The sequence below is a fragment of the Homo sapiens genome, chromosome 13 (assembly GCF_000001405.40).
Source record: "Homo sapiens chromosome 13, GRCh38.p14 Primary Assembly".
Classification (NCBI taxonomy): Eukaryota; Metazoa; Chordata; class Mammalia; order Primates; family Hominidae; genus Homo; species Homo sapiens.
The window spans coordinates 23,174,564-23,187,068 of record NC_000013.11 but is presented as its reverse complement, the minus strand read 5'-3'; the positions used below and the strand labels follow the sequence as shown (position 1 = coordinate 23,187,068).

The window sequence follows — 12,505 nt, the reverse complement described above, 5'->3', positions numbered from 1 at the left end:
CAGCCACTGCCCCTGCTGAATGTCTAAACTGTCCACAGCAGACACTGATGCTGAACCTGGATACAGCAGCATCCCTCAATAAGACCAAGCAGCCACTCGGTGGCCAGGGGGTTACATCATCTTGAGGGGAACTAACAGGTAGGCTGGGGTGGATTTTTCTTTTCTACCTGCAGGGCCTTGGCCAGCATCACTATCCAAGAACTTACAGAATGTGTGATCCACTGATGTGGAATCCCATAGGAGATGCCAACAAGCCAAATGACCCACCTTATGGCAAAGGCAGAGGGGCGCTAGGTACATGAGCCCGGGATCCCCTGTTCTTGCCACTTTCTGTATTTCCCAGCAGCTGCTGGCCTGACAGGGTGATAGAACAATCTTTTAAAGCTGCCGTTGAGGCCCCCGATCCCCTGTGAGGATGGGGGATACTTCAGAATGCAGTTCTGTACATCCAAAATCAATGACCATTATGGCGCTCCATCCCCAGTGGATAGGATATATCCCTCTGGAAACCAATGGTGAGCGTAGAAGTGGTCATGTTTGCCAGCTGGGAAGTATGTGCCTCCCATCCCCATTACCATGGGCTCTGTGGATCTGGAAGTCTGCTCCCAGCAGGGAGTGCTTCTACCAGAGGACACAATGTGAGTCCCAGTCATCTTCAAGCTGCTGCAATCGCTTCACCTCCTCAGGCTGGATACCACTGGTGAGGACACGATGCACCATTCTGACAAGAATTGTCTGGGAAGAATATGTTTGTCACCCAGGCGGACCAGCAAGGCATTTGCTGGTATTCCTCTGGCCATTTTGAGAGCAAATGCTCAGCCATGTGTGAACCACAAGTGCATTGGGACTGGTTAGGGGTTGGTGACCAAGGCTAAGACCCTTCAGAGTTGAATGTCAGGGTCACCCCAAGGCTACTCAGACCAGCCAGGGTGTTAGATGAGAATGAAGCAAATGCTGAATGGGTAGGTGAAGGCGGTGGGAGGGAAAAAGGATGGGTAAGTATCAGCTGTAGTCATGAGACCATCTGCATAAGGGGAGGCTCTAGTTCCTGCCATTAATATTCCCTCAGTGTTCCCCCAGGAAAAGAGATCAATCAAACCCTTGGAGGAGCTGTTCCCAAATTAGGTAAACAAAGCAAGAGGATCTGAGTGATGCGAGGGGTGGACTCGTGCTATGTCACGCCCATCACCCTTCAGAACCAAGACACTCCTTCCTTCAGTTGTGGAAGTGATGGCTGATGACGAGAATGACTTCAGAATGCACTAAGCTGCCTCGCCCATGGCTGTGTTTCCCCATGAGAGGCACACTCCAACGTTTTATCAGTGCACTGGGTGAAAGCCCGGCCCCTCTCTGGATTTGGGAACAGCCCTGCAGGCCTCCAGCTCTGTGGCAGCTACAGTACTATTTGACATCTCCTTCTGCCCACTTTGCCGCCTTTGCTGTCCTACAGGGATTTTTTTTCTTTTTTTCAAGATGGGTTCCAATACATGGCACGCATATCTCCAGCTTGGAGTCTGTTTCCCAGGGAACCTGTCGAAGCAATTGCTGTTGGAAAAATTGGAATTTAAAAGTGATCGGGGACCGGATGCAGTGGCTCACGCCTGTAATCCCAGCACTTTAGGAGGCCAAGGCGAGCAGATCACGAGGTCAGGAGATCGAGACCATTCTGGCCAACATGACGAAACCCTGTCTCTACTAAAAATACAAAAATAAGCCAGGCATGGTGGCAGGTGCCTGTAGTCTCAGCTACTCTGGAGACTGAGGCAGGAGAACTGCTTGAACCCAGAAGGCGGAGGGTGTAGTGAGCCAAGATCGCACCATTGCACTCCAGCCTGTGATCAGGTATGCTGATGGAATTCTCAGAATACCATTCAACTTTATCTATGTGAAAGTTGTCAGGATCACTAATGTTAAGAAAACTCTGACAAACAGAACCAGGGAAGGCCATAAAGAAAAATTTTTTATGCTTGTATGCTGATAACAAAAATTATCACAAAAGATTGCAAAAACCACAACCTTAAACACTTCTGCGAGGACATCTGCCTACAATCTCATACTGGTGTTACTCTTGTTATTGATCTCTGTAGCCAAGGATAATAATTTCAGAACAATTATGTAATCCTCATAGTCCCACTGCAATGCTCTATTCACAAATGAACATCTTTTCTTTGGGAGCTCGCTTGTTATTTAGGTTGACACTATCTCACATCAGGTTCCCTGGAAGCAGCCTGAGATGCGGATTCTTGTTCAGGTGTTGTATTAAGGGAATGCTCTCAAGAGGAAGGCACCAGGCAATGAGGGAAGCCGGCTAGGTTAGGAGAGGAAGATGGGCAAGGTGTGGGCTGAGGCCAAGGACACTTCTTAGAGAAGTGAGACAGGGAGAGAGAGAGAATTAAAAAGACCCCCTTACTGGCCATCCAGAAACCAGTTCATTATGTACTAGCCCTGTGAAGGGGACCAGCCTACATTGCAGTACCATTTATCCTGTATAGACATGACTCTTAAATTTGCTGTTATTTACAAAGGAGAACAGAGTTTAGAATATTCTTAAATTAAAATTACACATGAAGTTTGTGTTTAACCAAACAGCAAATAAAGTAGCCTGTAATCTATTTTATAAGTATTTTGATTTTTATACTAAGCCTAAAATTTTTAAGCAAATCAACTATCACTGCCCCCTCTAGAAAAAAAAAAAACCTTCAATTTGCCTAGTCCCTAAAAATTGTGTATAACTAAATTCTAACTCTGAAAAACATTCACACAATATTAAATTAAAATTTTAAGAAAAGGAAGTTATTTCAATGTATCAACTATACTGTGCTTCTAAATGCGTAAAGAAATTCTTGAGGTACACTTAAGTTTTTTATCAAACGTGGTATATATGTGTTTTTCCTATGGCCTGGCAGTTCATTTAAAAAGTTTCAGATGGCCTCAGGGCCATTTATTCACTTCCTTATTATCACCTTTGCTTTGAGATATGAATGGGATGATTTAAAGTGACTTTCAAATGTTGCCAAAATACAAACATTCAAATGCATTCCAGTATGGAGACAACACACTTATATTGTTTCACCAAGATTAACATTTTAGAGTATTTTATGTAGGCTGGGCATGGTGGCTCATGCCTGTAATCCCAGCACTTTGGGAGGCCGAGGCGGGTGGATCACGAGGTCAGCAGATCGAGACCATCCTGACTAACATGGTGAAACTCCGTCTCTACTAAAAATACAAAAATTAGCTGGGCATGGTGGCATATGCCTGTAATCCCAGCTACTAGGGAGGCTGAGGCAGAAGAATCACTTGAACCCGGGAGGTGAGTTTGCAGTGAGCCGAGATCATGCCACTGCACTCCAGCCTGGGCGATAGAGCGAGACTCTGTCTCAAAAAAAAATAAAAATAAAGGGAGAATATTTTATATAAAGTTTTCGTTACAATCAAAAATGTTGAAGAAAAGGAAGATTTTCATGGGAAAGGTAAACAGTCACTTGCCTTTCTTTCCTTCATAGACCTTACCACTAGGGATAGGCAGGCAGCCACCAGGAATGCCAGGAGGGCTATTTGTATCCTGGAATGCACACACCCCTTCTGAGCAGCCATGGCTGCGTGCAGAGAACGTTCTCCACAGAAACAGCAGAAATAGCCTCAGCCTGGAGTCTCCTGCCTGCTTAGGGCTCCTTTCTGGTACGCCTTCTTAGGGGACTGTGAGAAGCAGGTTCAAGTTCCTGACCAGTTACCGTCATTTTCCCGAGGTCTTCCTGACTTCCCCGCAGTGTGGGGTCAGGATAAGAGGGTGCATTGATGGGTGATGCCGATGGAAGCTACTATTTACTAAGAAGTCAGAAACTTTCTAATTGCCTTATATAGACTAAATTTGATACTTGTTAAAATGGTAGCTGCTACAATGCAACTCCTCTCACCTTACAAATGAAGAAACTGAGACATAGAAATTAAGTAATTCACACAAGGTCAAATGGCAGTCTGGCTCCATAGCCTAAACTTTTAATCATAGCCTCTTCATTGATGTTAGACTTTCCAGAGATGTTTCTCAAGTAAAATTAATTGAGCATTTTAAAAACAGAGTTAAAGAAGTCACGAAGGTGAAGCTAGGTTTTAAGGTACTCTTCACTGCCGCCTCCACTGCCCTTAATCCATTCTCCATGTCAACTGCAGTGATCCTTCCAAAGCACCCATGTGACTGGGCTGCTCTCCTTTTCTAGAGGTTCAAAGGTCTCACTGGTGCTTAGGATGAAGCACAAACGCCTTTGGGCACAGCAAGCCCTCCTGTCCCCATTCCTCAGTGGTCCTACCCACCAGTCATACTGAAGTCGAGCAGGCAGTGAGATTTTCACAGGTTCTGAGAAAAGTCTTGAGACCTTTACCATTCACAAATTACTAAATACTCCTGTACCAGTGTTCCCATAAAACTATCTACAGCATAACATATAAAATTAAAAATGAAGCTGGAATCCAAAATGGCCAAAGTAGCAAGTGATGGATCCTGCAATCCTCATGAGAACGTCGTAGAACTATCTGGCCCTGCAGTAGGTCTGGAGAAGAATAAAGCCAGACAGGTGCTATAGAGGCTGAGAGAAGGGGAGGGAGGGAGGGAGAGACAGGAAGGTGTCATGAAGGTCAAGGTGGGTTCTGAAGGAGCAGGAGAGTAGCAGAGTCATCCTCAGGACGCTGTAGTTTCTCCCCTCCCACTGGGAAACCACAGCCCTGGTGCCTCAAGCTGAGAAGACACAAGCGCTGTGATGAGCCACAGATTAGGGAGTGGAGGGAGATCCTCAGGCCCTATAAGTTATGCAAAACTGAACACATTGGGAACCCACTATAATTTACAACTATCATTTAATTTTTAATGCAATTTAATAACAACTTAGTTTAATGACTAGCAAGTACATTTTTTAAAGGACAATATGGAACAATTTCATTTTCCGCATTTTAACTGCAAGCTTAGCTGATATCTTTTGGACACCTGAATTTGTTAGTCTTTGGAATGCTATATCTAACTACATTGAAATGCTACTTTTCATTTGTCTTTGAAAGACAATCTGAAATGAATCCTAGAACCTATAAAACGAACCCCAACTTGTAGCATTACTTTTTAAATTCCACAAAGGTGCCTTTTTGTACCTACAAAATGTTTGCAAGAAAATAAGCAAAAAACAAACGGTGTATTCCGTAGTTCGTTTTTGTACTGGTCTGCTGGCAAATCTTTCAGTCAGCTGAGTTATATTTTTCCGTATTATTTTTTTCTAATCCTTCCTTTAAAAAAATTGTGTTTGCTAGTTGTCATGTATTAATTTAGAAAACGCAAAGAAAGAACTCATAACTTCAGTAAGCTGAAGCATTAGCACATGTGTACTTTTACCCCACTTATGTTTATTTTTTCATACATATTTTGAGCAGTATTTTATATTTTCCAGATTTAGGGAAAGAAACATTCTTCCCTTTTCACTCCAAAAATAGTGAAGGAGTCAGGTTGCTATTTTGCTCTTGTTTTGTTTATTTCCAACTTATAAAACCACTGGACTTTTGTTGTCATTCATTTTAGTTTATTTCTTAGTGTCTATAACAAAACTATCAAGAAAATCTAAAGCAAATGTAATTCTACCACTAAAGTTTAAGAGCAGAATTAGAAGTAGGTGATCTTAAAGATAATACTTTGTTTAAATTAACTACAGGATCCAATTCAATGCCCAATAATACAGAAATGCTACCTTTGGCATTCTACAAATTAAAAATGTTAGAAATATAGGATTATGCTAAAAATATGTAGCATATTTGTAGTCAGAATAACTTAGTTGAAATGAGAATTTCATTGATACTTGATATGTCATTATGTTGTGATACACCAATTTATTCAACATTATTTTAAATTTATTATTATGCCACCAAAGAAGAAAGAATATTAAGAAACCTCTTAAGCGTTTGGTTTTTAGGTAGTACTTTGTACTGATATAAAATCTAAGTTAAAACTGAGCACTTACCTTAGATATTAAGAAAAGCACACTGGCGAATGAACTACAGCTGGCCCGAGCTCTACCACAGACAGAATGTTTCAAACTTTTCTATGACTTACAGAATGAGAGCAAAGGATGAAGCTTCAGCAACTGTCCCTGGAGAAAGGGCTCTCACGAGTTTCGCCCTGTCTCATGTTTCATCCCCTCACATTAGCAACAGACGTGTCTAATTTTACTCAGTGACATAAACAGTTCATACCACACTTAAAATTTTTTGGGCACCAATTCCAGGACACAGCTCTTCGCATGCCAAAAACAAACCAAAACAAACAAACAAACAAGAAACCAAACTCTTCTTCTTACAAAACCAACTTTCCAACATTTAAACCCTAAAGCATGATAGTTTAATGTAATTATAACTTTCTTAAAAAAACTTTACCTCAAACAAACAGCAGAAAACTTCTAAGACTGGTTTCCATTAGAAACTAATGTTGATAAAATTTTACGAAAAATCTCTTCAAATTAACATGCAAGTTAGAACTTGTGACTATTACCTATATACTAGTCTCATCCAAATGAACGGCATATTACCATGTAACAGTGACTCTTTAAAAATCACTTTCCCTAAGCCTCTTTAAGTGAAAAACTTTTAACATCTGAGGAGAAAATCTTAAACAAAGATCACCATAATAGAAGGTAAACAAACTCTGCATGTTAAAATTATGACAGTTCTTTTCTAGTAAACTAACATTTCTATTGTGTTTAACAAATTATGTGAATGTAACAAATGTGACCTTAAATTGTCTTTATGTTTATTTAAGAGTAATTAGGTCATTCCATTTTATAAGGTGTAAAGACAACAGAATAAATATCGAACTTCTGAATAATTTTAATATTTTATTTTGCATTATTTTTATGTGACCTGGTTTGCAGCAGGATTAAAACTTACTAAATTATATACTTCATATTTGCATTTTAGTACTAAACCTTGAATATAAGAAGCAGTGCCTTAGTATACATGCACACAGAGATGGGAACAATCAGATACTGGGGCCTGCTTGAGGAAGGAGGGAGGGAGAAAGGTGGGGTTCGGAAAACTGTCTATCGGGTACTGGGCTTACTACCTGGGCGATGAAATTATTTGTACATCAAATCCTGGTGATATGCAATTTATCTGTGTAACAAACCTGCACATGTACCCCTCGAACCTGAAATAAAAAATGAAGAAAAAAAGGAGCAATGCAATAACAATGCATATGCTTCATTCTCATTTTATTTTCTTCTCAGGAGACTTTTCTCTTCATTCTGCTTATTTATACTCTACCATAATTTCTTTTGAAATTTGATACTTCTATCATACCAGCAGCTGCAGGCCTTAAATTACAAGCTGATACAGCTTCAAATAATCTTACATTTGTAAGACATTTTAAAACCTTTCATGAATTCTCTGCACATTAGTACTTCTACTTTGGGAATTCAGCTAGACATAAAATTATAGGACAACTATCAATTTTAAACAAAAATAATATATTAAACAATAATGATATGAAATGTATTTTTGTATGAGTGTATGTCTGAAAAGTCAAAGTCTGAAACTGCTAACTCAATATTCTGATTGAAATGTCATGCATGTAAAGGTTACAATTGAGATACCTCTTCATCAATCGTAAATTGGTTTTGTTGCAATGAACTTTTCAGTGTTTTGGGAACTGCTTTGTAAAAATGTTAGTCAGGTGATGTGTTTGATCCCCACTCATATTTACAGATTCATTTAATACTATCCACACCTATGTTTAGTAGGGCAGAAGAATCACATAAAGAAGCCTTTGATTTTATCAGTTAGTTGAAATTATTAAAGCAAGACCTTCAGTTTGTAATGTAGGCAGCTTAAGTTTGTAACTCACACACACACATTTTGAAATGTTCTCAAAGGAATCATAATACTTTAAAGCTCCAAGAGACCTTAAAGAAATCTAGTCTAACAGTCATTTAGGTGTAAAATAATTTGTTCCAGATTACAAAGCTAGTAAGCCTATGGGTAGAAGTGACTTTGAAAGTCCTTAGGCCTAATTTGGTGCTTGGGTGCTCCACTGTAAACGTGCTCCAACCATGGTCCTACGAACCTATGGGGACCTTTCTGGCTTCCCCCTCATTCTCCCTCTGCTTCCATTTTTGACTACTGCAGTCATCAGTTAGCGCTGACCTTTCTTCCTGACACCATCTCATCAAGCTCTTCCTTCAGTTTGGGCATTGATAACCCTGTTTCTGGCTTAAGTGGTTGGGTTCGGGGGATCACTTTCAGAACCAGTGAAAACAAGGAATTTCAGTAGTGATGTCGTCAGTTTTGGAGAAATCATTTCTATTTTGAGATGAAGTAAGAGGTGAGGTTATCTGTAGAGAGAGAATGTGGAAATAGGGGAATGAGAAAGTTCAACATTTGAAAATAACGGAGTATTTTAATGATTTGGGTTGTCAATTGACTAGTGAAACATATTAGGCCATGTCCAAGGCCCAAATGAAGTTATAAATATATGGATAGTAGTCTCATTTTAATAGTTCTCATGACGTTATAAGCTAACTGCAGTCATGGATTACTGTGACTAAATCCCTCAAAACTGCTCAGCCTTTCCTCCAATACAACACGCATTGTCTCCCCACAATTCCTCCAATACAACACCCACTGCTCTTTTGTCCATCTTTCCTTCCTCGGTTGACGATGCCATCCCCCAGAATGTCACAGAAGACAGACTTAGGGCTCTCCCTCACTCACCAGTCTACCAGTCACTAACTTCAGTGGATTCCCTCTGCAGAACCTCCTGCTCTGCTTGCCTTCCCTCCTTGCTCCTGCCTGACTTGGAGATTCACCTTCTCTGGCATCACCTATTGCTATAGCCAAGTACCTACTTCCTCTGCTTCCGGGAACTGCCAGCCCCCATCCTACACACCTAGGGACTGCCAGAGGAATGATGAGAACAGGTAATTCTGTCCATATCACTCCTTGGCCTAAAGCCCTTCATCAAGCCTCCAGGTGCAGGACCAAGTTCTTGACCTGACACACATGCCTTCAGTGATGGGCCCTGTTCATCTCTTCTGTGCCTTGTCCTGGGGAGTTTGGAATCACAAAAGTGACAATGCCCTTGGGTGCCTGGCTATCTTTGACTAGGGTTACCTCCCATCTTTTTCTACTGATGAACTATAATTTAACTTTTAAAAGTCTGCTCACAGGCCGGGCGTGGTGGCTCATGCCTGTAATCCTAGCACTTTGGGAGGCCAAGGTGAGCAGATCACTTGAGGTCAGGAGTTCAAAACCAGCCTGGCCAACGTGATGAAACCCCACCTCTACTAAAAATACAGAAAAAAAAAAATAGCCGGACATGGTGGCAGACACCTGTAATCCCAGCTACTTGGGAGGCTGAGGCAGGACAATCGCTTGAACCTGGGAGGTGGTAGTTGCAGTGAGCCGAGATCACACCACTGCACTCCAGCCTGGGTGACAGAGCAAGACTCTGTCTCAAAAAAAAAAAAAAAAAAAAAGCCTGCTCACATGCCACTATCAGTTTTCTATACTTAAAAAAAAACGGACACATATTAATTGTATATATTTACTGGGTACAACGTGATACTTCAATACATGTATACATTAAGTAATGATCAAATCAGGATAATTTTTTATCCCGATTTATCCTGATTAGCATATCCATCACCTCAAACATTTATAATTTCTTTAAGGTGGGAACACACAAAATCCCCTCTTCTAGTTATTTTGAGATACACAATACCTTTGTGTTGACTATAGTCACCCTACTATGCAACAGGACACCAAACCTTTCTAATTCTAACTTTTTACCCACTGACCAAGCTCATCCCTTTCTTCCCCTTCCCCTCCCCATTCTCTGGTAATCATTGCTCTACTCTCAACTTCTAGGAGATCAACTTCTAAGGTTTTGCATATGAGTGAGAACATGCAGTATTTGTCTTTTCATGCTTGGCTTATTTTACTTAACATGATGTCCTTCAGGTTCATCCATGTTCTCAAAATGACAGGATTTCCTTCTTTTAAAAGGCCGAACAGTATTACACCATGCATATATACCACAGTTTCTTTATTCATTCATCTACTGTTAAAACACATAGGCTGATTCTATATCTTGGCTATTGTGAATAGTTCTAAAATAAACATGGGGATGCAGATGTTTCTTTGACATACAGATTTCATTTCCTTTGGATATATACCCAGTAGTGGCACCACAGAAAACCTCTAAACCACAAAGGTAAACAACAAGGGAGGAAGGAAGAAACAAAGAATCTACAAAACAGCCAGGAAACAATTAATAAAATAGCAGGAATAAGTCCTTACCTATCGACAATAACCTTCCATGTAAATAGGTTAAATTCCCCAACTAAAAGGTATAGTGTGGCTGAATGGATAAAAAGACCCAACCGTATGCTGCCCACAAGAGACTTATTGCACCTATAAGGACACACATAGACTACAAGCAAAGAGATGGAAAAAGATACGCCCTGCAAATGGAAACCATAAGTAAACAGGGGTAGTTGTATCAGAAAAAATAAACATTAAGTCAAAAACTATAAAAAAAAGATTAAAATGGTCATTATATAATGATAAAGGAACATTTTCAGCAAGAAAATATAGCAATTATAAATATATATGCACCCAACAGTAAAGCACCCAAATATATAAAGCAAATATTAGATCTATATGTACTTTGAAACTTAACTGTAGTTACTTGTATTTTTGTTGTCATTACTTGTCTATGCTGTCCTCTCTACCAGACCATAAACTCTTTGTTCAATGTCTACATGTAGTGAGCCGTCAATGAACTAAACTCAAGTTACACCAGCTTTATTAGTTTTTTTTAAAATGATATTAATTCCATTAAAAAACTTGAGCTATCATAGTATATGGCTGACATTATAGGAAGTATCCAGAAGAGGTCAGTATAACAGTAATAAAAGTTTGGTTTTGGGGACAAATTAAATGTGAATGCAAATTAAATTATTTTGTAAGTAACAAACTTTAAAAGCTTTCAGAAATACTATGTCAATTATTTGCCTCTTTAATTAAAGTTACAATCTTCAAAATAGATGGCCATAGATCTTTCACATAAACAAAATGAGTAATCAAATGATTTTATGTTCAACTGAAAACTAAGAGTTTTCATCTGGATTGTAATTACTTGGATGATTCTCACTCATATTCTTTGATTATTTATCAATAGGAATCACACAGTGAACACATTTTAACTAATATAATTAATATTCCCTGTAAATTGTTATATCAATTAAATATTTGATCATTAGACTACTAAATGTATTTTTTTCATGGTACCTTTGGGGAATTGGAAGTCAATATTTATAAAAATTGAACTCAGTATTCTAAAAGAAGATAGAGGGGAGAAATTCATATGTAATAAATAAGAAATCATTGAGATGCTGGAGAAATTAGGTGTAAGAAAGGCTAAAAGAAAAAGAAAACTCAGATTTCAGGGGAGAAAATAGAGTACTACCTAAAATTTCCGTATTATGTTATACACTGGCTTCCATGAACTCATGACCTTGAATAATTTGTAAGCAACAGATATTGCAACTCCATCAAGTATAGATTTCTTGGGCAATGATTATTTGGGCAGAGAATGTAAGTGTGATGTGTGCATATCAGAATCACAGGAAATATGTTAAGAGTAATTATCAAAGTAGAATCTATGCATGGTAAAAAGGAAATCAATCAGAAAGGCTTAGAATAAAATCTCCTGCTTAGAATAAAATCTCTTCTTTTCCCCACTACACCTCTACCTCCATGTGTCTGAGGTCACTACTTAGCTCATCCTTTTCATACTTACCTCTTACCTTTAATTAGCCTCCTATTGCTATGTCTCAGTGTATTAACTCCAGACATGATCTATCCAATTTGTTCACGCAGGTTTTCATCCTGCAGCACTTTCCTCCTTTCTCCTATGTAGTTCTATCACCTCTTTCAGCTCCTTCTGTGGTCAACTTGGCAATTTCACAGTCTACTTACATATTTATTTCTTGTTTCAAAATTATAGAGAGTATATCCTGACCCTCGTGCTCTTTAACTGAGTGCACTGTTGCTGCGGCTGCTCCATCCTCCACCTGTGACCATGGTGCACGCCGCTCTCGTCTCCAGCCCTCCTTTCAGTTTACCTGCACTTTTACATGGTCAAAGCTGATTCCATTCCATTCCATTTGAAAACCATAATGGCATCTCCTGTGATTTGACCAGCTTGATTAAAAAAATAAAAATGCAACAAACGGTGTTCACATTTTTATAACTATGTTTCCTTTCATAGACAAATACTGATTTTATAACCAGTGCCACTCAGTGTTTCTATTACCAGTTCCAAATGGAATCTACTTTTAAAACTATCCCTCTGAATATTTTAATTGCTTCATATTGACATTACGGCTTTTCCCACACAGCTTTTATTGTTGGAATTTCTGAATTCCTTTGTTTTTCTCTGTTACAAGAAGAAATTATGTGAAATATGTCTCTGACA

General features: G+C 39.3%; 1 protein-coding gene across 5 annotated transcripts in view; it reads right to left on the bottom strand.

Annotated features, from left to right (window-relative positions):
• Positions 1-12,505, bottom strand: part of SGCG (sarcoglycan gamma) — a 164,655-nt gene that overhangs the window by 138,094 nt on the left and 14,056 nt on the right. For 2 of the 5 annotated variants that reach the window (NM_001378246.1, NM_000231.3), the window contains exon 1: positions 5,994-6,090. The exons of 2 other annotated variants lie outside the window; for them this stretch is intronic. The gene's annotated coding sequence lies outside the window, so the exon portion shown is untranslated. Of the gene's footprint in view, positions 1-5,993; positions 6,134-12,505 lie in introns of those variants that run through there. One more of the 5 variants, NM_001378245.1, reaches the window with a different exon arrangement.